Here is a 24,646-nt window from a genome sequence, read left to right on the forward strand (position 1 = left end):
ACATGGTAAGCAATTCACTACTATGATGTTGAGGACACAATTTTGACCCTCAAGTTTGACCTATTTTTGCCCCAACTTTGCCCCTTGTTAGTCACCTGAGCTTAACTAACATTACTGACCATCGGCTTCCTTAACTCTGAGATGGGTATTATAACGTTTTGGTGCCACAAAAGAAATAGCACTTGAATGTAAAATTTTCTTTTTAATTCTCAGCAAGGCAACGTATTTCTATAGAAAGGTGAGTCCTTACAGATGGAGCAACGGTGAGCACACACCTGGACAAGGGAGGGAAAGGGCTGTGGCCACTGCTGCTGTGTTGTTCCCCTATTGGCTAGGATTAGACTGCACAGGCTAAATTAATTCTGATTGGCTAATTTAAAGAGCGTGACAGGGCGAGTGGTTTGGTGGGAAAACGTGGTTATGCAGTGAGGAGGATGAGTCAGGGCAGAACAGGTGGCAGATAATTGGAATGTCAGGGTGGAGCAGTAATCGGAATGAGTCAGGGTGGAGCAGGTGATTGAAATGAGGGTGGAGCAGGTAATACAAAAAGGTTGCTTTATGATGAAGTTTAAAAGTAGAAGGCAAAGAATTGAATATACTGACATATTGATTCTTTGAAAAGAAATTTAGAACTCATATCTAATGGCATAACTTGGCAGGCTAGTTAATGAAGTTAAGATCAAATCTGCAAGAATTCTGAGAATCAGCTTGTGCAGCTGAAACTGCTGTTGCAAAATAATGACTGAGACAGTGAAAGAGATCTAACTTAACTGACTCCATCTTGCGTCTAACCTTTAAGCTGCGGTGTTCCTTCTTGGGTGTAGGCTGAACTAACTTAGGGAGGAACTTAGTTTCTAGTTTAAAACAAAGACGATGGCAGCCCTTTCCCAAAACAAACCTCCTTCTTGCCTGGGCACCAGACTGCCTTTGTAAGACTAATAAATTACATAAGATTATAAATTATGGTTTAGGAATCATGTGGCTGGAGGCTACAAGATTCTGAGCCTCCCTAAACTGTTACTAAGATCACTGCTTGAGATATTTTGCAGACCCTGCACTTGATGGATCAGCTGACACCACCCAGATTGATAAACTGGTTCATCTGATCTTGTGGCCGCCACCCAGGAACTGACTCAGCACAAGAGGACAGCTTCAGCTTCCTAAAATTTCATCTCCAACCTAACCAATCAGCACTCCTGGCTCACTGGCTTACCCCCACCCACCAAGTTGTCCTTAAAAACTCTGATCCTTTGAGTAATAATAAAACTCCGGTCTCCCACACAGCAGGCTCTGCAGTGAATTACTCTTTCTCTATTGTAATTCCCCTGTCTTGATATATCAGCTGTGTCTAGGCAGCGGGCAAGGTGAACCCATTGGGCAGTTACGCAGCTGCTGGATGAACAAATAAATGTGTGGAAAATGAAGAAAAACCGAGAGTCAAAGCTTACAGACTCTGCGATGTGTCCTGGATGCAAAGGCCACCTCCTGGAGTTTTTGCTACCTTTGCTTTTCAGCTGAAAGTATTTTGGGTGAGCTCAGCCAAGAGGTGGCTGCAGATTGTAGGTGGAGATGCTGGGGAGTGTGTGGGGTTTTGCGATTTTCCAAGCTCTAGATGTACAGCCAGGGGAGCCCCTATGCAAGACTCAGCCTACTCACCACGTGGGGCGCTGTGCAGTCATGATATTTACCAGCAGTCAATCCGGTAGGGAGCCTCAGAATGGTGAGTTGGACTTGGCAAGGGCATGCTTGGCTTTCAGGGAGTTTGTTTGCACAGTCAGATTGATTTCTGCTCTCCTGTGACCAGAGGACACCGGTGCTTATCTTGGTCCCCTCTCCACCCTTTGTTTGCCTGACCCCTTGGCTCCCTTTTTAATACTTTAAAATTTTAAGGTTTTCCTTTACTAAATATCACAGAATTTTTTTTATTTTTTCTTCTTTTTTTAAATCTGGGAGCTTACCACCCAAGCTGGCCCAGCCTGATGTTTTTTTTTGCTTTGTATTTTCACAAGGATGAGATAAGTCCCCATGATCTCTCCTGGGTTTTTTGCTGGTGCTGCTTGTTAACTCGAGTAACTCTCGGCATTTTCTTTGCTTCCTTTCTCTGGCATTTCTGCCAAAGTGTTTCTGAACGTTCAAGGCCTGAGTGAGGTTGAGCTAGATTGTCTCTTAGATGTGCCTCATCCAAGGCTTCCCTTCACACCCATGCTGGGCTTAGTACCAAGGGGTGGTCCATCCTTTGCCCTATCTGAGATCTCTTCCCCACTTTAATTAACTTTTTAGTTTGAATTTTCAGGAAAGTTGTAAAGATAGTGCAGAATTCCCAAATGTCCTTCATCCAGCTTGCTTTGCTGTTCACCTTTTTTGGTACAATACTATTAATTACAGACTTCAGAATTCACCAGCTTTTCCACGAATGTCTTTTTTTCTGTTCCAGGAACCAATCTGGGATCCCATGTTGTGTGTAGTTGTCAGAGGTCCTTAGCTTCCTCCCATCTGTGACAGTGTCTCAGTGTTTTATTGCTTGTGATGATCTTGAAAATTTTGAAGAGTGCCCCATTTTAATATATGGGAACACAAGCTTTACTGCATTTGGAAAGGAGGAAGAGCAATGTATTAATTCCTTTCTGCCTTCTCAGAGAAAGTCTGCTCTTGTCTAAGCCATTGTTCTGGTAGCAGCATCAACACTCTCAGAAGCGTTTTTGTTTTTCTTTTTTTTTTTTGAGACAGTCTCGCTCTGTTGCCCAGGCTGGAGTGCAGTGGCACGATCTTAGCTCACTGCAAGCTCCGCCTCCTGGGTTCACACCATTCTCCTGCCTCAGCCTCCCGAGTAGCTGGGACTACAGGCGTGCACCACCACTCCTGGCTAATTTTTTTCTTTTTTTTTTTGTATTTTTAGCAGAGTTGGGGTTTTGCCATGTTGGCCTGGCTGGTCTTGAACTCCTGACCTCAGTTGATCCACCTGCCTTGGCCTCCCACAGTACTGGGATTACAGGTATGAGCCACCGTGCCTGGCCTCAGAAGCTTTTTATAAAGCGTTTGGAGCAATGAATTTTCTTCCCCATCCAGAAGTTTGACTAGGTGATATGTAATTTTTTTTTAAATGTTTTATTTCCATAGGTTATTGGGGGAACGGGTGGTGTTTGGTTACATGAGTAAGTTCTTTAGGGGTGATTCGTGAGATTTTGATGCACCCATCACCTGGGCAGTATACACTGCACCCTATTTTGTAGACTTTTATCTGCGTGACCCTGACTTAGTATATAAACAAGGAATGCATGGAGTCGACAGGTTAATGATGCCCCTGGGTAATGTCATATATGGTTGTGCCCACATTCCTTATAGGTACATAGCTGAGCTAGAATTTGCAAAAACTAGCATTTATTAATTTTTTTGGCAGGGGCCACCCCTTTAGCACCTGGGAGCACATATTCCGCCCCACCCGCCACTCCCCTGCTCGCCTCTGTGGGGATGCAAATTCTAAATTAGAGCACTAGCAATGGCAGTCCAGATGTCACAACTCAAAACACCAAGAACAGACAGAGCCATCTTTATCTAAGTGTGACACCTGGATGTGTCTCAGCCGAAAGAACCCCCAGACTCCCCCACATCAGAATACTGGGAAGTCTGGTTACAGTGAATGATGAGGACCCCTTCAGGGATGGGAGGATACAGCAAAGGATCACAGGAGCCTGGGAGGGAGATGGAGAAGGGGAAAGGCACGAGCAACAACTCTTCTCCCTATTCAGAGCCAATGTGTGTGGACAGGTGTCTCGAGGTTGGCTGAACTACCCCTTTCTCTGGTTCTCTGCTTCCCCTAAAGGCATCTCTGGCTGGCTGCTCAGGAAAGGGAGGCTCTAGAGTAGATGACTGACCTGATTTTCCAGACCCCAGAAAGATCTCTGGGACTGCACGGTGGCCTGACTTGGTGTTTGGAATGGGTGGCAACGCTTCTGGATAGGGGGAGATCATTAGTATTTTAGTGGAAGAGGTGCTGATGGGCTGCAGAATCCTTTGTTTGTCCTGGCTCTACCACCAACATGTGGTGCGGCTCTGGTAACCCACCATTTTTAATTTCCTTGTCTGTAAAAAAAAGGGAAGGGGGGAGGCTAGATGAGATAATTCCAAGATTCCTTCAAACTCTAGCACATTAGGATTCTTGTTTAGCTCTGTCACACCCAAGGTAACTTGACTCACCCCCTATTAGAGGACTCACTCTTTTCCTCGTGTGCCGTGATGTGAAAACTCTTGGAAGCCTCGTGGTGCCGGCAAGCATGCCTTGGGGCCCTCTGGCATCCATGTCTCATTCCTAACAGCGCCTTGGTATCCTTTGGGATAATTACCTTTTGTCCAGTGTCTTTAGTCTGGAAGATCTCTGACTTCCAATAAACATGAAGGGGACATGTGACCCAAACCCTGCCAAAGAGATGCTTTTTTCCCTAGAATTTGAACCTTGAGCAAATGCGAGAAGGTTGCAAACGTCATCCATTGGTGATGCCTGGACCTGCCACTCCTGCGGTAGGACCATTTCTGTTCTTCCTGTCTCCAGGAACTGTCTGTGCCCCCTAGCAGCATCCAGGCCTGGGTCCCAGCCTTCCAGTGGATTCCCAGAGCCTCTCCTTCCCTGGTATCCCTTTTTGCTTAAGTTAGGCAAAATCACTTTCTGTTGTTTGCAACCCCATTGTGGCAAGAAATGTGCTCTGTGTTTCAGAAATTTCTGGAAGTGCTGGGAAATGCAGGCCATGCCACCCAGTGACATTCAGGCTCTGGAGTGAAGAGACCTAAGCCAAATTGGATGTGACATCTAGTGGCTCCTTTGCTTATTGGTGTCCTTGGATAGGTCTCCCAAACTCCCTAAGCCTGTTTTCTTTTCTATAAAATGGAGATAATATTGAGCCACACAGAATGGCCATAGAGAATGAAGAAACATACACACAGTCAGTTCTCAATCATCATTGGCTTTGATTGTGATTACAATAATGAAAGCTTGGATAATAGTGCTGTGTTGGATCTCATCTGTCTCTGGGGTCCCCAAATAAGGAGCAGAGACTGAGGATAATAATAATGATGATGACAACAAAAACATGGCACTCTTGTATAGTAGTAAGTATATCCCGGGTACTGTCCTAAGTGCTTTATGTATTAACTCACTCAATCCTCACAACCTCCTTATGTGGTAATGTACTCTTACTACCTCTGCTTAACAAATAGGGCATTGAGGCATAGAGTAGCTAACTTGTTCAAGGCCTCCAGAAGTTATTGGTCTGCTCTGATGTTTTCTATCTGACAGAGAGAAGGCTGAGCAGACAGGCCAACATCACACACACACTGCAGAATTCATGTGCTTATGTGCTTTCTCTGCATGCCTTTCCTGGTCTTGGGGAGGGCCTCATTGCTGCAGTGGGGAAGGGAGATGCTTCATCAGTAGGCATGACTCATAGCCGAGCCTGTGCTCCTGGATTTGTTCTGAAGTGAGATTCTATTGTGTTTATTGCAAACAGACAGGCAGCTCCGTTTCCTGTTGGTTCTGTTTCCTTCCTATTAAATTACTGAACTGTGAGGACTGGGGAGGGCGGGTAGGAAGGGAGATGAAGCAGGGTTAAGAGGATTCTGTTTTCAGCAAGTAGTGAATTCCCCAGAAGCTTTTCCCACTTAGTCCGGATGCATCCATACGATGTGAAGTTGGGCTTAATTGCTTCGTGTTGGTGGCAGAGCTCTGAAGATGAGGACTGGCTTTCCTACTGGAGAGCTGGCCCGTGGACCAGGCATCTATTGCTGAGGCCAGATGAAAATGGGCCAGGGCCTCTGGCCACACGCTGCCACAGCCAAGAGAGATGGAGCAAAGCCATGCAGTGTCAACTTAGGTTTGAGAAAGGGGTCAGGTCAAAGTGCTGGAAGGACTCCCCATCACTGAGTTCCTTGCCATCAACACAACTGCAGAGCAGAGCAGAAGTGACCACACATCCAGAGGCCACTGTGGAGGAAACACAGCATCAGGCCCTTTCAACACTTAGTTAATCCTCATGTTGGCCCCATGGAATTATTTTATTTTCCTACTTTATACACAGGAAGTCGAAGCTTGGAGAGATTCTGTGAATTGGTGAAGGACACAGAGCAAAGCCAGGATTCAGATTCAGACCTGCTTGACTCCAAGATCATTCCAGAAATCTCCCTTTTCCTTTGGACCCTGTGACGTGACAGCTGGGTTCTTTCTGCTCTGATTTCCATGCCTGACAACCATTTAAATGGAATACAAGAATGCAGGTAACTGAAGAAACCCATGGAGAGAGGTGAATGCCTTTGTTTTGGGTGTGGTTGTTAAAGAGGAGGTGGTGGTTGATATGAGGGGGCATTTGTCTCAAGCAAAGGAAGCCTGTACTGAAGGCAGAGTGCCTGGGCTGGAGAAGTCCAAGCAGGTTGGAAGCCCTAAAGAATCAGCTAGGTTAGTTGTTCTCAACTGCGGGGGATTTGGTAATGTCTGGAAATATTTTTGGTTGTCATGGTGGGCGTGGGTGTGTGCTACTAGCCTCTGGTGGGTCGAGGCCAGACTCTAAATATGCATAGAATAGCTTCCTACAATATGGAATCATCTAACCTGAAAGTCAATGGTGCTGAGATTGAGAACGTCTGATCTTGGAAATCCCTTATTTGCAGATATGGAAACAGGGTTCCTAAGAGTTGGATGCCCACCCCTAAGTCACACAGCTCAAGTGAGGCAGAGATGACACCAGAGTGGAGGTTTGCAGCACCCCAGGTGTCTTAGTCTGTTTTCTGTTGCTTACAACAGAATACCTGAAGCTGAGTAACTTGTAAAGAAAAGGAATTTATTTATTACAGTTATGGAGGCTGATAAGTGTAAGGTCAAGGGCTACATCTGGTGAGGGCCTTCTTGCTGGTGGTGACTTTCTGTGGAGTCCTGAGGTAACACAAGGCATTATATGGTGAGGGGGATGAGCGTGCTAACTCAGCTCTCTCTTCCTCTTCTTATAAAGCCACCAGTCCCACTCCCATGTTAACTATGACTCCAGGAATTCACTCATCCATTCATGAGAGCAGAGCCCTCAGGACCCAAGCACCTCTTAAAAGCCCCATCTCTCAATACTGCCACCCTGGGGATTAAGTTTCAACTTATGTTTTAGAGGGGACAAAGATTCAAACCATCGCACCAGCTGAGTGATATTTACCCCATGCAGAGTGGCCTCAGTCAAGTAATGCAGGAATGGGTTTTCTGATAGACGGGCGTTGGTCCAGGGCAGCTCAGCTCAAGTTGCCCAGGCTGGGAAAGGGCCAGACCTCTCTCCTTGATGAAGAGGTGGTTCTGGTCTGCTGATGTGTGCATGGGGCCCAGGGCCCAGAGGAGGAAGGGGCACTGTGGGGACTCCTTGGAGCCAGCATGAGCTGTGAGCTGAGAGACACAGGCAGGAGGTCTCGGCCACTCTTCTCTCCTAACCCTGAGCTTCTACTTCTGCTGCTGGGCCTGCCATGGCCTTCCTGCCCATCCAGTGGGAAGCATAGGAACAATAGCTCCTGACTCCTGAATAACACTTGATAGCACTGTTTTATAGTCTGTCTCTTCATTGACTGTGTGAGCTTCTCTACAACTTGATGAGGTTAGTTAGGTGGGCAGTGGGGATGTGGCTATTCCCATTTTAAAGACCATGGAATGAGGCTGAGGAGGTTAACCACCTGACCACACGTTGCACCAGAGGCCCAGGTGAACCAGCAGCCCTGCCCTCTGATCCACGTCTGGCATTCTTTCATCTACTCTTCCAAATGAGAGTGAGAGCTCTTTTGGTTTGAGTACTGTGCTAGGTGTTGCCTCTTTTGAATCACTTCTCTGTATTCCTGCCATGTGCCATGTTTCTTAAGGGTGTGAATATCTCAGTTTTTACTTTCCAACTAACATATGTGTTCTGTGTTTAATTTTCGCTTAGATAACTGAACCTGCCACTGTGAGGCATGATGCCATAGCAGGGATATGGTGTGGACTGGGGCATAGTACTTCGTCTCTCCATGCTCAGTATAGTAGGAATGGGAGATAGAAAAGACAATGATTGAAGAGTAAACATAGGGTGCCATTGACATACCCCATTCAGGTCTCAGAGAGCTTCTGAACCTGTGTAAACCACTGACCTCACTTTACTGCTTTATAATTTGCATTGTGTAACTCTGTCTCCAGGAGACCTCAGGCTTCTTTAGAGCAGAGGGCATTTCTTTTCGCTTTTGTCTCTCCCGCCCTTAGAAGGTGCTTGGCACATTCTTGGCTCTTTCCTGGATCTGTCACATTCTCTTTGCTAAGCACCAAGAGGCAATTTGTGCTGATAGAGGCAATCTCTATCAGTAGGATAGCTGACCCCATCTTCATCAGTAGGATAGCTGCCTCCAAGTAGGTCTCTACTGGAAACTCTCTGACAGAGGTGGGGGCTGTCCCACTCCCCAGAACCTTGAGTGTCAGAGGCAGAATCCCAAAGGCCTGGTCATGCCACCTTGGGACAGTCTGGGGTGGGCCTCTCTCTGGGAGCCAGCTCACAGTTCCCATGCTGTCTCCAGCAACTGTTCTTTGACACACATATGAGGACAACATTTCTCCTATCTGTTGGAACACAGTCAACATTTAGTGTCTGAGTCCCCGTTTCCCTCTGCATTTCTAGCTACCTGTTTGAATGTTGTTAGGTAGGCAGCCAGCCACAGGGACCGAGGCATTTGAAGCTCCAAGGCAGTTGCTGACTTCTGAAGCAGGGAGTGGGAGACTGACTATCAGTTCCCGCTCCTCTGCTTCAGGGCCCTGCCAGTATTGTAATAACATCTCCAGAACATGTCTAACTACACGTTACAATTATCCTCTCCAGGTCCTGCATTGCATTTCCTTAGAATCTCCCCCGAGCCTGATAGCATGCAGCTTCTACCAGGGAGTCCATTGTACCCCTAATTTCTTTCTTTGCTGCGTCAGCCAGTCTCCTTGGGCTTCTGCCTCAGCAGGTGGGCTGGGTGAGGATTTTCCATCAGTCCAAGCATATCTTTCAACAAAGACTTCAACTTTAAAGAAATCCTGTGTCTCTAGGTGCTGATTCTTCTGAGCAATTTTCAGAGGCCTCCTTTGCCTGCTTTCACCCAAGGGAAATTTCTGGCCCTCAGACCACGCGTACTTGGCTCTCTGACAGTGTACCTGCACCCACCACCCTCATGGTGAGGTTCATCTCAAATGAGTTTTAGAACTTCCTTCTGACTCTTGGGAGATCTTCCTAAGGGGATTTTCCAAACTGTAAGGAGAAAAGGGAGGTGGGTAAACAGTGAGTCTGAGCATGGGAGAGGGATGCATGATACCGTTGAAGATAGGGACATGCCATAGGGACATCCCTCCCAATCCCCCCACGATATAAGCTAACTATGGGGCTCCTGGAATTGGTTGACTAAGCTGAGGCTTCTGGGCACTGAAATAACATTATTTAATGACAGTGTTAGGAAGAAGCTCTTCTGAAGGCAGTGAAACAGGATGGATGTCTCGACAGGAAGAGTTAGAAATTCACCCTTTATTTATTATTTTCTTCCTTTTATTTTTTAAAAATCAGTTTTCTTAGGTTGAAAGAAATTCACCCTTTATCAAGAATTATTTATAGTTCCTCTGGAGTGAGAGAGGAAGACATTACCCACGCAGTGCTCTGTGGAATCATCTGAGCCACCACTTCTGCCTTGGGGACATCATCTGGGGAAGTATCTAGATCCTTTGGCTGAACAACGTGTTTTGAGGTCTTTAATATGTCACCTTAAGGATGAGGCCTAGAGAACATGGCCTTTTGTTGAACAGTTTGTAAGCTCTCAAATGTGAGTAAATGTGAGGAGGGTCTTGAGAGATATAGGAAGCTCAAGAAACCTAGCTAGAGTCTCTAGACTGTTGAGAAAAGTGGTGAGAAGAAATTCCCATTGTGGGGGATGGGAGTGGTGGTTCAGGAGGATTTTTGAGAATGGGGATAGAGAGCCTAGAAATAAGGCCACACACCCATGGCCATCTGATCTTCGACAAAGCAAGCAATGAGTAATGGACTCCTTGTTCAATAAATGGTGCCGGGTTGACTGATTAGCCATATGCAGAAGATTGAAACTGGACTCCTTCCTCACACCATATACAGAAATCAACTCAAGATGGATTAAAGACTTAAATGTAAAACCCAGAACTATAAAAACTCTGGAAGACAACCTAGGCAATACCACCCTGGATATAGGAACGGGCAAAGATTTCATGATGAAGACACTAAAAGCAATTGCAGCAAAAGCAAAAATTGACAAATGTGATCTGATTAAACCTAAGAGCTTCTGCACAGCAAAAGAAATTATCAACAGAGTAAACAGAGTAAACAACCTATAGAATAGGAGAAAATATTTGCAGACTAAGTATCCAACAAAGGTCTCATATCCAGCATCTATAAGGAACTTAAACAAATTTATAAGAAATAACTAACAATTCCAACAAAAAGTGGGCAAAGTATATGAACAGACACTTTGCTAAAGTAGACATATATGTGGCCAACAAGCAAATGAAAAAAAGCTCAATATCATGATCATTAGAGAAATGCAAATCAAAGCCACAATAAGATATATCATCTCACACCAGTCAGAATGGCTATTATTAAAAAGTCAAAAAATAACCGATGGCTGGTAAAGTTGCAGAGAAAAGGAAATACTTATACACTGTTAGTTGGAGTTTAAATTAGTTCAACCATTATGGAAAGCAGTGTGGTGATTCCTCAAAGAGCTAAAAACAGGACTACCATTTGACCCAGCAAACCTATTACTGGGTATATGCCCAGAGGAATAGAAATCATTCTACCATAAAAACATGTGCAACAAATGTTCATTGTAGCACTATCCAAAATAGCAAAGACATGGAATCAACCTAAATGTCCATCAATGACAGATTGGATAAAAAATGTAGTACATAGGTCCCATGGAATACTATGCAACCATAAGAAAGAACAAGATCATGTCTTTTGCAGGAACATGATGGAGCTGGAGGCCATTATCCTTAGCAAACTAATGCAGAAACAGAAAACTAAATAGTGCATGCTCTTACTCATAAGAGGGAGCTAAATGAGGAGACATCATGAATACAAAGAGGGGAACAACAGACACTGGGACCTCTTTGAGGGTGGAGGGTAGGAGGAGGGAGAGGAGCAGAAAAACATTAATCTTGTTGTACAGATTATTTTGTCACCCAGGTACTAAATGTGGTACTATTGGGTACCCTACCACTGTTTTATCAAACAAGTTTCTGTAATAGTATAAATCCTTTGTTGTCATTACAACAATGTTCATGGCATCTTCACCAGGAGTAAATCTCATCTCAAGAAACCACTTTTTTTGCTTATCCATAAGAAGCAACTCCTCATCTATTCAAATTTGATCATGAGATTGCAGCAATCTGGTCACATCTTCAGGTTCACTCTAATTCAAGTTCTCTTGCTGTTTCTACCACATCCACAGTTACTTCCTTCACTGAAATTTTGAACCTGTCAAAATTTGGTACCTTACTGTTGTGTACCAGGTTTAGTACCTGGGTGACAAAATAATCTGTACAACAGACCCCCCGTGATACCAGTTAACCTAGGTAACAAACCTGCACATGTACTCCTGAACCTGAAATAAAAAAAAAAAAAATGGGAATTTTTAGGTTACAAGTTCTTTTTCTGTGAAATAAGTCCCCAGCCATTGCATCAAATACTCAGTAAATCCTTCTAGCAATATGGGAGTGATTTGGGCAAAATCAGAAGAAACCCACAAAAACTCTGTTGCACATCATTGTGCTGAACCTCTATTAATCTCAGTAGGGAAGACACCAGGCTCAAGAGGCCAAAGAAGACACTCAGAGCCAGTAAATGAGACATGGGGTCTTATTAGGGGCTTCCACACAAGGGAGACAGTGCAGCGACAGCGGGCTGGACAAGATAACCACAGGGCCCAGTAGCTGCGGGCTGGAGAGGAAAACCACAACTGCCTGCAAATGTCATGCAGTTTATGTAGCATTTCCACTTACTCCCCTCCCTCCAACAACCTTCACCTGGCAACCTTCATTTAACCCAAAACTCAGGGCCTCAATCCCCTGTACAGCCTGTGTTTCACCAGATGGGCCAGGGACTCAGATGTTTATTGTAGATAAGGAATGAATCTCCAGGTTGGCCACTCCCGGATTCTCTAGCTCAGAACACACATTCAGGTGCATCTGCCATACAGGGTTGTTCTAAGGGTGTGCTTCAATGATGCTATCAGGTGTGTTTACTGTACACACATTAGGATCAGTGAATGCAGAGGAAAGAAGAGGTGGGGAAGGGAATTCAGAAACAAGACCGAATTTGGTAAGACTAGGGATTCAAAGCCCGTGGAGGTCACAAAAATGTATGTCTTTGGGGATTCATAGAAATCTTAGGAAGAGCCTTTGTCTTCTAGGAGGTTGTGGAAGCAATGTTGCCAATTTTATTTGAATCGGAAAGCTTATAAAAACCTTATACAGGGGGATTCCCAGGCCAGATGGCCGAATAGGAACAGCTTCAGTCTGCAGCTCCCAGTGAGACCAACGCAGAAGGTGGGTGATTTCTGCATTTCCAACTGAGGTACCCAGTTCATCTCACTGGGACTGATTAGACAGTGGGTGCAGCCCATGGAGGGTGAGCCAAAGCAGGGTGGAGTGTTGCCTCACCTGGGAAGTGCAAGGGGTCGGGGAACTCCCTCTCCTAGCCAAGGGAAGCCATGAGGGATTGTGCCATGAGGGTTGGTGCATTCTAGCACAAACACTATGCTTTTCCCATGGTCTTCCCAACCTGCAGACCAGGAGATTACCTCCGGTGCCTATGCCACCAGGGCCCTGGGTTTCAAGCACAAAGCTGGGCGGCTGGTTGGGCAGACACCAAGCTAGCCACAGGAGTTTTTTTTAGTACCCCAGTGGCGCCTGGAATGCCAGCGAGACAGAACCATTCACTCCCCTGGAAAGGGGGCTGAAGCCAGGAAGCCAAGTGCTCATGCTCAGCGGATCCCACCCCGATGGAGCCCAACAAGCTAAGATCCACTGGCTTGAAACTCTCACTGCCAGCACAGCAGTCTGGAGTTGACCTGGGATGCTCAAGCTTGGTGGGGGGAGGGGTGTCCACCATTTCTGAGGCTTGAGTAGGCAGTTTTCCCCTCACAGTGTAAACAAAGCCGCTAGAAAGTTTGAACTGGGTGGAACCCACCACAGCACCGCAAAGCCACCATAGCCAGACTGCCTTTCTAGATGCCTACTCTCTGGATGCCTCCTCTCTGGGCAGGGTATCTCTGAAAGAAATGCAGCAGCCCCAGTCAGGGGCTTATAGATAAAACTCCCATCTCCCTGGGGCAGAGCACCTGGGGGAAGGGGTGGCTGTGGGCACAGCTTCAGCAGACTTAAATGTTCCTGCCTGCCAGCTCTGAAGAGAGCAGTGGACCTCCCAGCACAGCACTCAAGCTCTGCTAAGGGACAGACTGCCTCCTCAAGTAGGTCCCTGACCCCCGTGTCTCCTGATGGGGAGACACCTCCCAGCAGGGGTTGACAGACACCTCATAGAGGAGAGCTCCAGCTGGCATCTGGCAGTTGCCCCTTTGGGATGAAGCTTCCAGAGGAAGAAGCAGGCAACAATCTTTGCTGTTCTGCAGCCTCCGCTGGTGATAGGCAAACAGGGTCTGGAGTGGAACTCCAGCAAATGCCAGCAGACCTGCAGCAGGGGAACCTGACAGTTAGAAGGAAAACTAACAAACAGGAAGCAGTAGCATCAACATCAACAAAAAGGATGACCACTCAAAAACCCCATCCAAAAGTCACCAACATCAAAGACCAAAGGTAGACAAATCCATGAAGATGAGGAAAAACCAGTGCAAAAATGCTGAGACTTCCAAAAACCAGAAAGCCTCTTCTCCTCCATAGGATCACAACTCCTCGCCAGCAAGGGAACAAAACTGGATGGAGAATGAGTTTGATGAATTGACAGAAGTAGGCTTCAGAAGGTGGGTAATAACAAACTCCTCCAAGCTAAAGAAGCATGTTGTAACCCAATGCAAGGAAGCTAAGAACTTTGATAAAAGGTTACAGGAACTGCTAACTAGAATAACTAGTTTAGAGAAGAACATAAATGACCTGATGGAGCTGAAAAACACAGCATGAGAACTTTGTGAAGCATAGACAAATATCAATAGCTGAATTGATCAAGCGGAGGAAAGGATAGCAAAGACTGAAGATCAACTTAATGAAATAAAGTGTGAAGACAAGATAAGAGAAAAAAGAATGAAAAGGAACAAACAAAGCCTCCAAGAAATATGGGACTATGTGAAGAGACCAAACCAACATTTGATTGGTGTACCTGAAAGTGATGGGGAGAATGGAAACAAACTGGAAAACACACTTCAGGATATTATCCAGGATCACTTCCCCAACCTAGCAAGACAGGCCAACATTCAAATTCAGGAAATACAGAGAATACTGCAAAGATACTCCTTGAGAAGAGCAACCTCAAGACACATAATCATCAAATTCACCAAGGTAGAAATGAAAGAAAAAATGTTAAGGACAGCCAGCCAGAGAGAAAGGTCGGGTTACCCACATAGGGAAGCCCATCAGACTAACAGCATATCTCTCTGCAGAAACCCCACAAGCCAGAAGAGAGTGGGGGCCAATATTTAACATTCTTAAAGAAAAGAATTTTCAACCCACAGTTTCACATCCAGCCAAACTAAGCTTCATAAGTGAAGGAGAAATAAAACCCTTTGCAGACGAGCAAATGCTAAGGGAATTTGTCACCACCAGGCCTGCCTTACAAGAGCTCCTGAAGGAAGCACTAAATATGGAAAGGTAAAACCAGTACCAGCCACTGCAAAAACATACCAAAATGTAAAGACCATCAACACTATGAAGAAACTGCATCAACGAATGGGCAAAATAACCAGCTAGCATCATAATGACAGGATCAAATTCAAACATAACAATATTAACCTTAAATATAAATAGGCAAACATGCCCCAATTAAAAGATATGGACTGGCAAATTGGATAAAGAGTCAAGATCCATTGGTGTGCTGTATTCAGGAGACCTATCTCGTGGAAAGACACACATAAGCTCAAAATAAAGGGATGGAGGAATATTTACCAAGCAAGTGGAAAGCAAAAACAACAACAACAACAACAACAACAACAACAAAACAAAAACCAGGGGTTGCAAACTTAGTCTCTGATAAAACAGACTTTAAACCAAAAAAGATAAAAAATACAAAGAAGGGCATTACATAATGATAAAGGGATCAATGCAACAAGAAGAGCTAACTACCCTAAATATATATGCACCCAATACAGGAGCACCCAGATTCGTAAAGCAAGTTCTTACAGAACTACAAAGTGACAGACTCCCACACAATAATAGTGGGAGACTTTAACATTCCACTGTCAATATTAGATCAACGAGACAGAAAATTAACAAGGATATTCAGGACTTGAACTCACTAATAGACATCTACAGAACTCTCCATCCCAAATCAACAGAATATACATTCTTCTCTGCACCACATAGCACTTATTCTAAAATTGACCACATAATTGGAAGTAAAACACTCCTCAGCAAATGCAAAAGAACGGAAATCATAACAGTCTCTCAGACCACAGTGCAATCAAATTAGAACTCAGGATTAAGAAACTCACTCAAGACTGCACAATTACATGGAAACTGAACAACCTGCTACTGAATGACTGCTGGGTGAATAATGAAGGCAGAAATAAATAAGTTCTTTGAAACCAGTGAGAACAAAGACACAATGTACCAGAATCTCTGGGATACAGCTAAAGCAGTGTTTAGAGGGAAATTTACAGCACTTAATGCCCACAGGAGAAAGTGGGAAAGATCTAAAATCAACACCCTAACATCACAATTAAAAGAACCAGAGAAGCAAGAGCAAACAAATTCAAATGCTAGCAGAAGACAAGAAGTAACTAAGATTAAAGCAGAACTGAAGGAGATAGAGACATGAAATCCTTTCCAAAAATCAATGAATCCACGTTCTGGTTTTTGAAAGTTTAACAAAATAGACCACTAGCCAGACTAATAAAGAAGAAAAGAGAAGAATCAAATAGACACAATAAAAGATGATAAAGGGGATATCACCACTGATCCCACAGAAATACAAACTAACATCAGAGAATACTATAAACACCTCTATGCAAATAAACTAGAAAACCTAGAAGAAATGGATAAATTCCTGGACACATACACCCTCCCAAGACTAAACCAGGAAGAAGTTGTATCCCTTAATAGACCAATAACAAATTCTGAAATTGAGGCAGTAATTAATAGCCTATCAACCAAGAAAAGCCCAGGAACAGAAGGATTCACAGACGAATTCTACCAGAGGTACAAAGAGAAGGTGGTACCATTCCTTCTGAAACTATTCCAATCAATAGAAAAAAGGTACTTCTCCCTAACTAATTTTATGAGGCCAGCATCATCCTGATACCAAAATCTGGCAGAAACACAAAAACAACAACAACAACAACAAAAAAGAAAATTTCAGGCCAATATCCCTGATGAATACCGATGCAAAAATCCTCAATAAAATACTGGCAAACTGAATCCAGCAGCACATCAAAAAGCTTATGCACTATGATCAAGTTGGCTTCATCTCTGAGATGCAAGGCTGGTTCAACACATGCAAATCAATAAACGTAATCCATTACATAAACAGAACTAATGACAAAAACCACATGATTATCTCAACAGATGCAGAAAAGGCCTTTGACAAAATTCAACACTGCTTCATGCTAAAAACTCTCAATAAACTAGGTATTGATGGAATGTTTCTTAAAATAATAAGAGCTATTTATTGACAAACCCACAGCCAATATCATACTGAATGGGCAAAAGCTGGAAGCATTCCCTTTGAAAACTGGCACAAGACAGGGATGCCTTCTCTTACCACTCCTATTCAACATAGTTATTGGAAGTTCTGGCCAGGGCAATCAGGCAAGAGAAAGAAATAAAGAGTATTCAAATAGGAAGAGAGGAAGTCAAATCATCTCTGTTTGCAGATGACATGATTGTATATTTAGAAAACCCCATTGTCTCAGCCCAAAATCTCCTTAAGCTGATCAGCAACTTCAGCAAAGTCTCAGGAAACAAAATCAATGTGCAAAATCACAAGCATCCTATAAACCAAGAACAGACAGAGTCAAATCATGAGTGAACTCCCATTCACAATTGCTACAAAGAGAATAAAATACCTAGGAATACAACTTACAAAGGATGTGAATGACCTCTTCAATGAGAACTACAAACCACTGCTCAAGGAAATAAGAGCAGGCACAAACACACTGAAAAACATTCCATGCTCATGGATAGGAAGAATCAATATTGTGAAAATGGCCATACTGCCCAAAGTAATTTATAGATTCAATGCTATTCCCATCAAGCTACCATTGACTTTCTTCACAGAATTAGAAAAAACTACTTTAAATTTCATATGGAACCAAAAAAGAGCCTGTATAGCCAAGACAATCCTAAACAAAAAGAATAAAGCTAGAGGCATCAAGCTACCTGACTTCAAACTATACTACAAGGCTACAGTAACCAAAACAGCCTGGTACTGGTACCAAAACAGATATAGACTAATGGAACAGAACAGAGGCCTCAAAAATAACACCACACATCTACACCCATCTGATCTTTGACAAACCTGACAAAAACAAGCAATGAGGAAAGGAGTCCCTATCTAATAAATGGTGTTGGGAAAACTGGCTAGCCATATGCAGAAAACTGAAACTGTACCCCCTTCCTTATATCTTATACAAAAATTAAGATGGATTAAAGATTTAAAGATAAGACTTAAAACTATAAAAACCCTAGAAGAAAACCTAGGCAGTACCATTCAGGACATAGGCATGGGCAAAGACTTCATGACTAAAACACCAAAAGCAATTGCAACAAATGCCAAAATTGACAAACGGGATCTAATTAAACGAAAGAGCTTCTGCACCGCAAAAGAAACTATCATCAGAGTGAACAGGCAACCTACAGAATTGGAGAAAATGTTTGGAATCTACCCATCTAACAAAGGGCTAATATTCAGAATCTACAAGGAAGTTTAACAAATTTACAAGAAAAGACAACCCCATCAAAAAGTGGGTGAAGGATATGAACAGACACTTTTCAAAAGAAGACATTTATGTGACCAAAAAAAATATGAAGAAAAGCTCATCATCACTGGTCATTAGAGAAATGCATATCAAAACCACAATGAGATATCATCTCACACCAGTTAGAATGGCAATCATTCAAAAGTCAGGAAACAACAGATACGGGAGAGGATGTGGAGAAACAGCAATGCTTTTACACTGTTGGTGGGAGTGTCAATTAGTTCAACCATTGTGGAAGGCAGTGTGGCAATTCCTCAAGGATCTAGAACCAGAAATACCATTTGACCCAGTGATCCCATTACTAGGTATATAACCAAAAGATTATAAATCATTCTACTATAAAGATACATGCACACTTATGTTTATTGCAGCACTATTCACAACAGCCAAGACTTGGAACCAACCCAAATGCCCATCAATAATAGACTGGATAAAGAAAATGTGGCACATATACACCATGGAATACTATGCAGCCGTAAAAAAGAATGAGTTCATGTCCTTTGCAGGGATATAGATGAAGCTGGAAACCATCATTCTCAGCAAACTAACACAACAACTATCCCAGATACAGAAAACCAAACACTGCATGTTCTCTCTCATAAGTGGGAGTTGAACAATGAGAACATATGGACACAGGGAGGGGAACATCACACACTGGAGCCTGTCAGGGGGTGTGGGTGAAGGGGAGGGATAGCATTAGGAGAAATACCTAATGTAGATGACGGGTAGATGAGTGCAGCAAACCACCATGGCACATGTATACCTATGCAACAAATCTGCACATTCTGCACATGTATCCCAGAACTTAAGTATAATTAAAAAAAAAAAAAAAAACCACAAGCTGCAGGGCACCAGTTCCCCAAGACCAAAGAAAACCTCAAAAGTTGTATTAGCAATTACCAACAAATATGTATTGATCACCTACTGCATCTGCATACCAGACCAGACACTGCCAACTCTCAGGGCCTGGCATACAGTAGGAGTTCAACCTCTGCAAAGCTAGACTCATGAAGAGGGCAAACCTAAAGTGTAAATTTTCACTGAAATTACCATAAGCAGCAAATGGCCAGGCAGAGTCTATACCTTTGAGGCCTTTTTTTTTTTTTTTTAAGTCAGTCTCTCTTTCTCCTCTCTATCTTTCTTGTACTTGCTTTTGGGCATTTCAAAAAAAAAAAAAAAAACAAACCTTATACAACATTCAAGTATGTTTGAATGCACACAGACACAAAAAAAGGAAAAAAAAGAAAAGTTTAGGAAGTTCACACCTCAAACTGTTTAGCTGCATGTGGGGAATACTACTTGGTGTGAGTTATCAGGAGGTTGAGGGGACTGTTTCCTTTTTTCAGTACATATACTTCAGTATTATTTCAATCAAAAGCACATTAATAAATATATCATTTTATAATTTAAAGACAAAAAGAGATGCAAATGCCCATAATCTCACTGCCCAGATGTAATAACTTTTAACATTTAATATGCATTCTTTCTGATTTTTTCTCTAATTTTAAATTTATTTTTAAATTAACATCTTTCTGACGTTTTTATCCATATGTAAATACATATACATGTATGTGCAAAAAATATCAAAGTATACTGTGGTGTAGCCTGCTTTTAAAGCTTAATGATATATCTTAGACGTCTTTTCATTTTCTCAAAATACGGATATGTAGCATTTTTTTTGAGACAAGTCTTGCTCTGTCACCCAGGCTGGAGGGTGACTGCAAGCCTTGAACTCTTGGACTCAAACGATCCTCCCACCTCAGCCTCCCGAGTAACTGTGACTACAGGTGCATGCCACCGTGCCTGGCTAATTTTTAAAACTTTTTTTTTTAGAGATGGTGGGGGGATCTCACTATATTGCCCAGGCTGGTTTTGAACTCCTGGCCTCAAGCAATCCTCCCACCTTGGCCTCCCAAAGTGCTGGGATTACAGATGTGAGCCACCATACCTGGCCCTATCATCTTTTAATAGCTGCATGATATTCCATTGTATATGTGTCTCATGGTTTATGTAACCGATTCTCTATTAACGGACATTAAGGCTGTTTCTATTTTCTTTGCTACTATAAGCAGCATTGCAATTAGTATCCTTATAGATGCATCTTTTCGCATTTTTTACTTACGTCCATAGAAAACATTCTAAGAGTTGGAATTACTGGATCAAAGGAGAGTTGTGTTAAAAATTTTGATACATAATGTCCTCCAGAAACAACCAATTTCCCCTTCTACCACCAGCTATCAGCGCTCACATATTTTTTGAATGCCTACTGTGTTCTAGACAAATAAGACATTATTTTTGCCCTGAGGGGGTTTACATGCTTGTTAGTTGGTTTGTTAACACATACTCAGACTCCCTATTTATTTAACAAGCTCTTACACAATGCTTAGTACCATGTGCCAGATACTATTCTAAGGAGCTTAAAATATTAAGTCATTTAATCCTCATGACAATCTTATAAGATGGTACTATTATTATTTCCACTTTACAAATGGAGGAGCTAAGCAAAGGAGTTAAGCAACTTGCTCAGGTTCACACAGGTGACAAGTGGTAGAGCTAGTAGTAAAATCTAAGAAATATCCTGGCTCCAGAATTTGTTCTTAATCCTGTGCTGTGGCTCCTCTTGGCACAACAGGTAATGACACTCTCAGCACTGAGATAATAGATTCAGTGACTTGGAAAACCTCCTTTCTATGATGAAAGTGAATAGGGAGATGGGCTTTCAATTGGCCAAGCCCATCCTTTCAGGGCTAGGAGGGAAAGACATGATTTTGTGATTTTCAGCTTGAGCACTTAGGAATCTGCCCTTTCCCTTAACTGAAATGGGTAACCCACAAGGGAGATAGGTTGAGGGTGGGGATGAAAGACAGAGACTTCTGTTTTGGATTTGTTGATTCAAAATGTTGTGAGCTATCCAGATGAAAGGGCCAGACAGCAGAGGGAAATCCATATTTGGTGCTTGGGAGAGGAGACAGGTCCAGAGGAGAGTCCTGAGAGTCACCAGCCTAGGGGAAGACAGTGAGGCCCTGAGAGGGATGTGATCCCACAGGGAGGCCACACAGATGAGGAAGAGCAGAGGTCCAAAGGCTGGGCCTTGAGAAATGCCTCCATTTAAGGGAATGGTGCTCAACCTTGGCTGCATGTTGGGGTCACTTAGAGGTTATAAAAGCTCCTGATGCCTGGGTCTCACCTCCAGATATTCTGATTTCATTGGCCTGAAAGGCAATCTGGCTATCAGAATGGGGTGTGTGTGTGTGTGTGTGTGTGTGTGTGTGTGTATGCTTTAAAAATTATTATTTATTTTTGGTATCTGACTTTTTAAGGCTTCCCAGGTAATAATACTGTGTAGCTGAAGTGAACAGCAATCAGTTAAAGGGGATGACAGAAGAGAAATTCAAGAAGCCATCTCACAGGGCCAGAGAGAGGGTAGAAGTGTTTTCATTTGTTCCATAACATGCATTGAGTACCTAATAATAATAGCTACCACCTAGTGAAGGCTGTGGCCAGGCCCTGTGCTGAGTCATTTGCACACATTATCTCATCTAATGCTCACACCACACAACATTATGAGATATTCTTACCCCCTTTTGCAGATGGAGAAACTAAGAATCAGAGAAGTCAAATAACTTGGCTAAAGTCATACTTCTAAAACTTAGTGGGAGAGTCAGGATTCCAATGTGGTGTAGGATATCTTCCAAACCCTTGGAGTTAATCACTGTGCTATGCTGCCCATCACCTGCCAGATTTTCTGCTTGGAACTGTCAAGGGGCTTGCGGTCTTGTGGGTATAGAAGAGTTACACATAATGAGGTAAGTGCTGCGGTGGAGGAAGGTAAAATATCCCGGTGGAGAAAGCTCATAATAGCCTGGAGGACTCAAGAAAAGCTTTGCCTATGAGCTAATGCCTCGGGAAATATTTTCTATTTATTCCTGCACCCAGAAACAGGCTCCACCTCTTGATAGGAGGGGAACACATGTCTGTAGGGAGAAAAGAGTTGATGGTGGCCATCTTGAAGGTAAACGACTACAGTCTTGATCCTGGGCACTTCTGAGAGAGGCCTGGTAGCTGTTAACTTTCCTTTCAGACCCTTTGGGTTTATGAAGATGACAAAATCTCTCAAGCGAATGGCAGCCAGATTGGTTTCTATCTACTTTCATTTATTTATTTACCTTTATTTTAATTTGAGAGACAGGGTCTTGGTCTGTTGCCCAGGCTGGAGTGCAGTGGCACAATCATAGCTCACTGCTGCCTGAACCTCCTGGGCTCGGGTGATCCTCCACTTCAGCCTCCCAAGCAGCTGGGACTACAGTGCACACCACCACACCTGGCTAAGTTTTAAAATTTTTTGTAGAGACAGGGTTTTGCCATGTTGCCCAGGCCATTCTTCAACTCCTGGCCTCCAGTGATTCTTTCAGCCTCCTAAAGTGCTGGGATTACAGGTGTCAGCCACTGTGCCCGGCCATCTGTCTAGTTTTAAACTACCCTATAGTAAGATCCACAACTACTGGGAAGGGGCTCCTAGCCTTAGTCACACTCTGAAGAATTCTTCAGGAGCGGAGCAGCCAACTGGGCCAGTGATAGTACCCACTGCCTTCAAGAGAAATGCCCTTACATAAAGTTTGATATCTTATTTGGAAAGGTGTCTTCTAAGTCAATGTGAATTTACTGCATTTGGAGGGAGAAAGGGCACATTTCAACTTTCAGAAATGGGAAGCTAAAAGTGGGCATCAGTCAGGGTTGTCATCACCTTATATATCATAACTGAATTTGTGCTGATGTCATCCTTGACTACATGAGTCAGAACATAATAAACTTTAAAATTGCCAGAAGAAAGGCTGCTGCTCATGCTTGTGATTTATGACACAAATCCAAAGCTGCTACATTTTCTGCACTTACCATTTATATTTGCATGAAGTTCAAAGGGGGAACAAGAAGCTTAACTCTTTCTCTGACGTGGTCAACAAGACTGTAGTCTCAGAAGGAACCAGATTTGCTTTGTGCATTTTAACATAGGGTTCTTAGTGTCTGTTTTTGATTGAGAGAGACACCTTTGCATTAACCACACAACTTCACTCTCTGTTCCATCCCTGAGGCTGCTCAAGGGAACCAGCTTATTATAAACAGGTTTAATTGAGGTTCCTTAAAAGTCAGGGAGTTGAGAACTCTTTTATTTGAATGCAATAGCTGTATCAATTTGAGATGCAATTAGTGGCCAAATATATAATTTTATACAAGTGGTCCTCACCAATTTGCAGACTTTTAAAAATTAAATTTACTATTAATGAAATTATTCAGGGGTAAGACATTCAACATTAGGATGGTTAAAAATGGCAAGGAATGTTTATATTGCTTCAGGCTGCTTTAACAAAATACTTTAGACTTTTGGTGGTTTATAAACAACACTTATTTCTCACAGTTCTGGAGGCTAGGAACTCCAAGATCAAGTTGCCAGCAGATTTGGTGTCTGGTGAGGGCCCATTCCTTATAGACAGTGCCTTCTTGAGGTGTCCTCACAGGATGGAAGGTGCCAAAGAGTTCCCTTATAAAAAGACATGAAGGTCGGGTACAGTGGCTCATGCCTGTAGTCCCAGCACTTTGGGAGGCTGAGGCGGGCAGATCACCTGAGGTCAGAAGTTCAAGACCAGCCTGGCCGACACGGTGAAATCTTGTCTCTATAAAAATGCACAAATTAGCCAGGCATGGTGGCAGGCACCTGTAATCCCAGTTTCTCTGGAGGCTGAGGCAGGAGTATCACTTGAACCCGGGAGGCGGAGGTTGCAGTGAGCCAAGATCATGCCACTGCCACTGCACTCCAGCCTGGGCAACAGAGTGAGGCTCAGTCTCAAAACAAAACAAAACAAAACAAAACAAAACAACAACGACAACAAAAACAGACATGTGAGGGCATGCTTTCTTTCCCCCTCTGCTCTTTGCCATGTAAGAGTACAATGAGAAGATGGCCATCTGCAAACCAGGCATCAGCCATCAACCAGACACTGGATCTACTAGCACCTTGATCTTGGACTTCTCAGCTTCCAAAACTGCGAAATAAATTTCTGTTGTTTACACCACCCAGTCTATGGTATTTTGTTACAGCAGCTCAAACTGACTAAGACAGAGGGAAGGATGAAAGAGACTTGAAGACTTGAATGTATTTAAATGTGTAGACGTGAAGGAGGCAAGGTGGGGGTGGGGGGCAGGAGAGAGAGAGAGAGAGAATGAGAATGAAAGAAAGATATTGATTGATTGATTTTAGGTCCAGAGGAGGATGAGAATCATCAACAGGTGGAAGGGACAGCATCCAGTTGATAGGTGAAGAGGTTTGTTAGCAGGATGTTGTTGGTTGCAACCCACCCAGTTGCTTCAAGTAATGGAGTTTATTGACAGTTTGCTGTATGCATGGAAACCCAGGAAAAGTTGAATGGCCAGACTTAGGAAGAGCATGGCCCTAGCAGTGCTGGGTTGCAGATTTTCACCCCAGAGC

At 43.4% G+C, this 24,646-nt stretch overlaps 1 long non-coding RNA gene across 1 annotated transcript; it reads left to right on the top strand.

Moving 5' to 3' along the window:
• Window positions 1–1,259: 1,259 nt before the first annotated feature.
• LINC02073 (long intergenic non-protein coding RNA 2073) lies at window positions 1,260–11,635 on the top strand. Its single transcript, NR_146897.1, has 3 exons — window positions 1,260–1,529; window positions 6,066–6,261; window positions 9,567–11,635. It is a non-coding gene; the product is annotated as a long intergenic non-protein coding RNA 2073 (long non-coding RNA).
• Window positions 11,636–24,646: the final 13,011 nt, after the last annotated feature.

Source organism: Homo sapiens, chromosome 17 (assembly GCF_000001405.40).
Source record: "Homo sapiens chromosome 17, GRCh38.p14 Primary Assembly".
Taxonomy (NCBI): domain Eukaryota; kingdom Metazoa; phylum Chordata; class Mammalia; order Primates; family Hominidae; genus Homo; species Homo sapiens.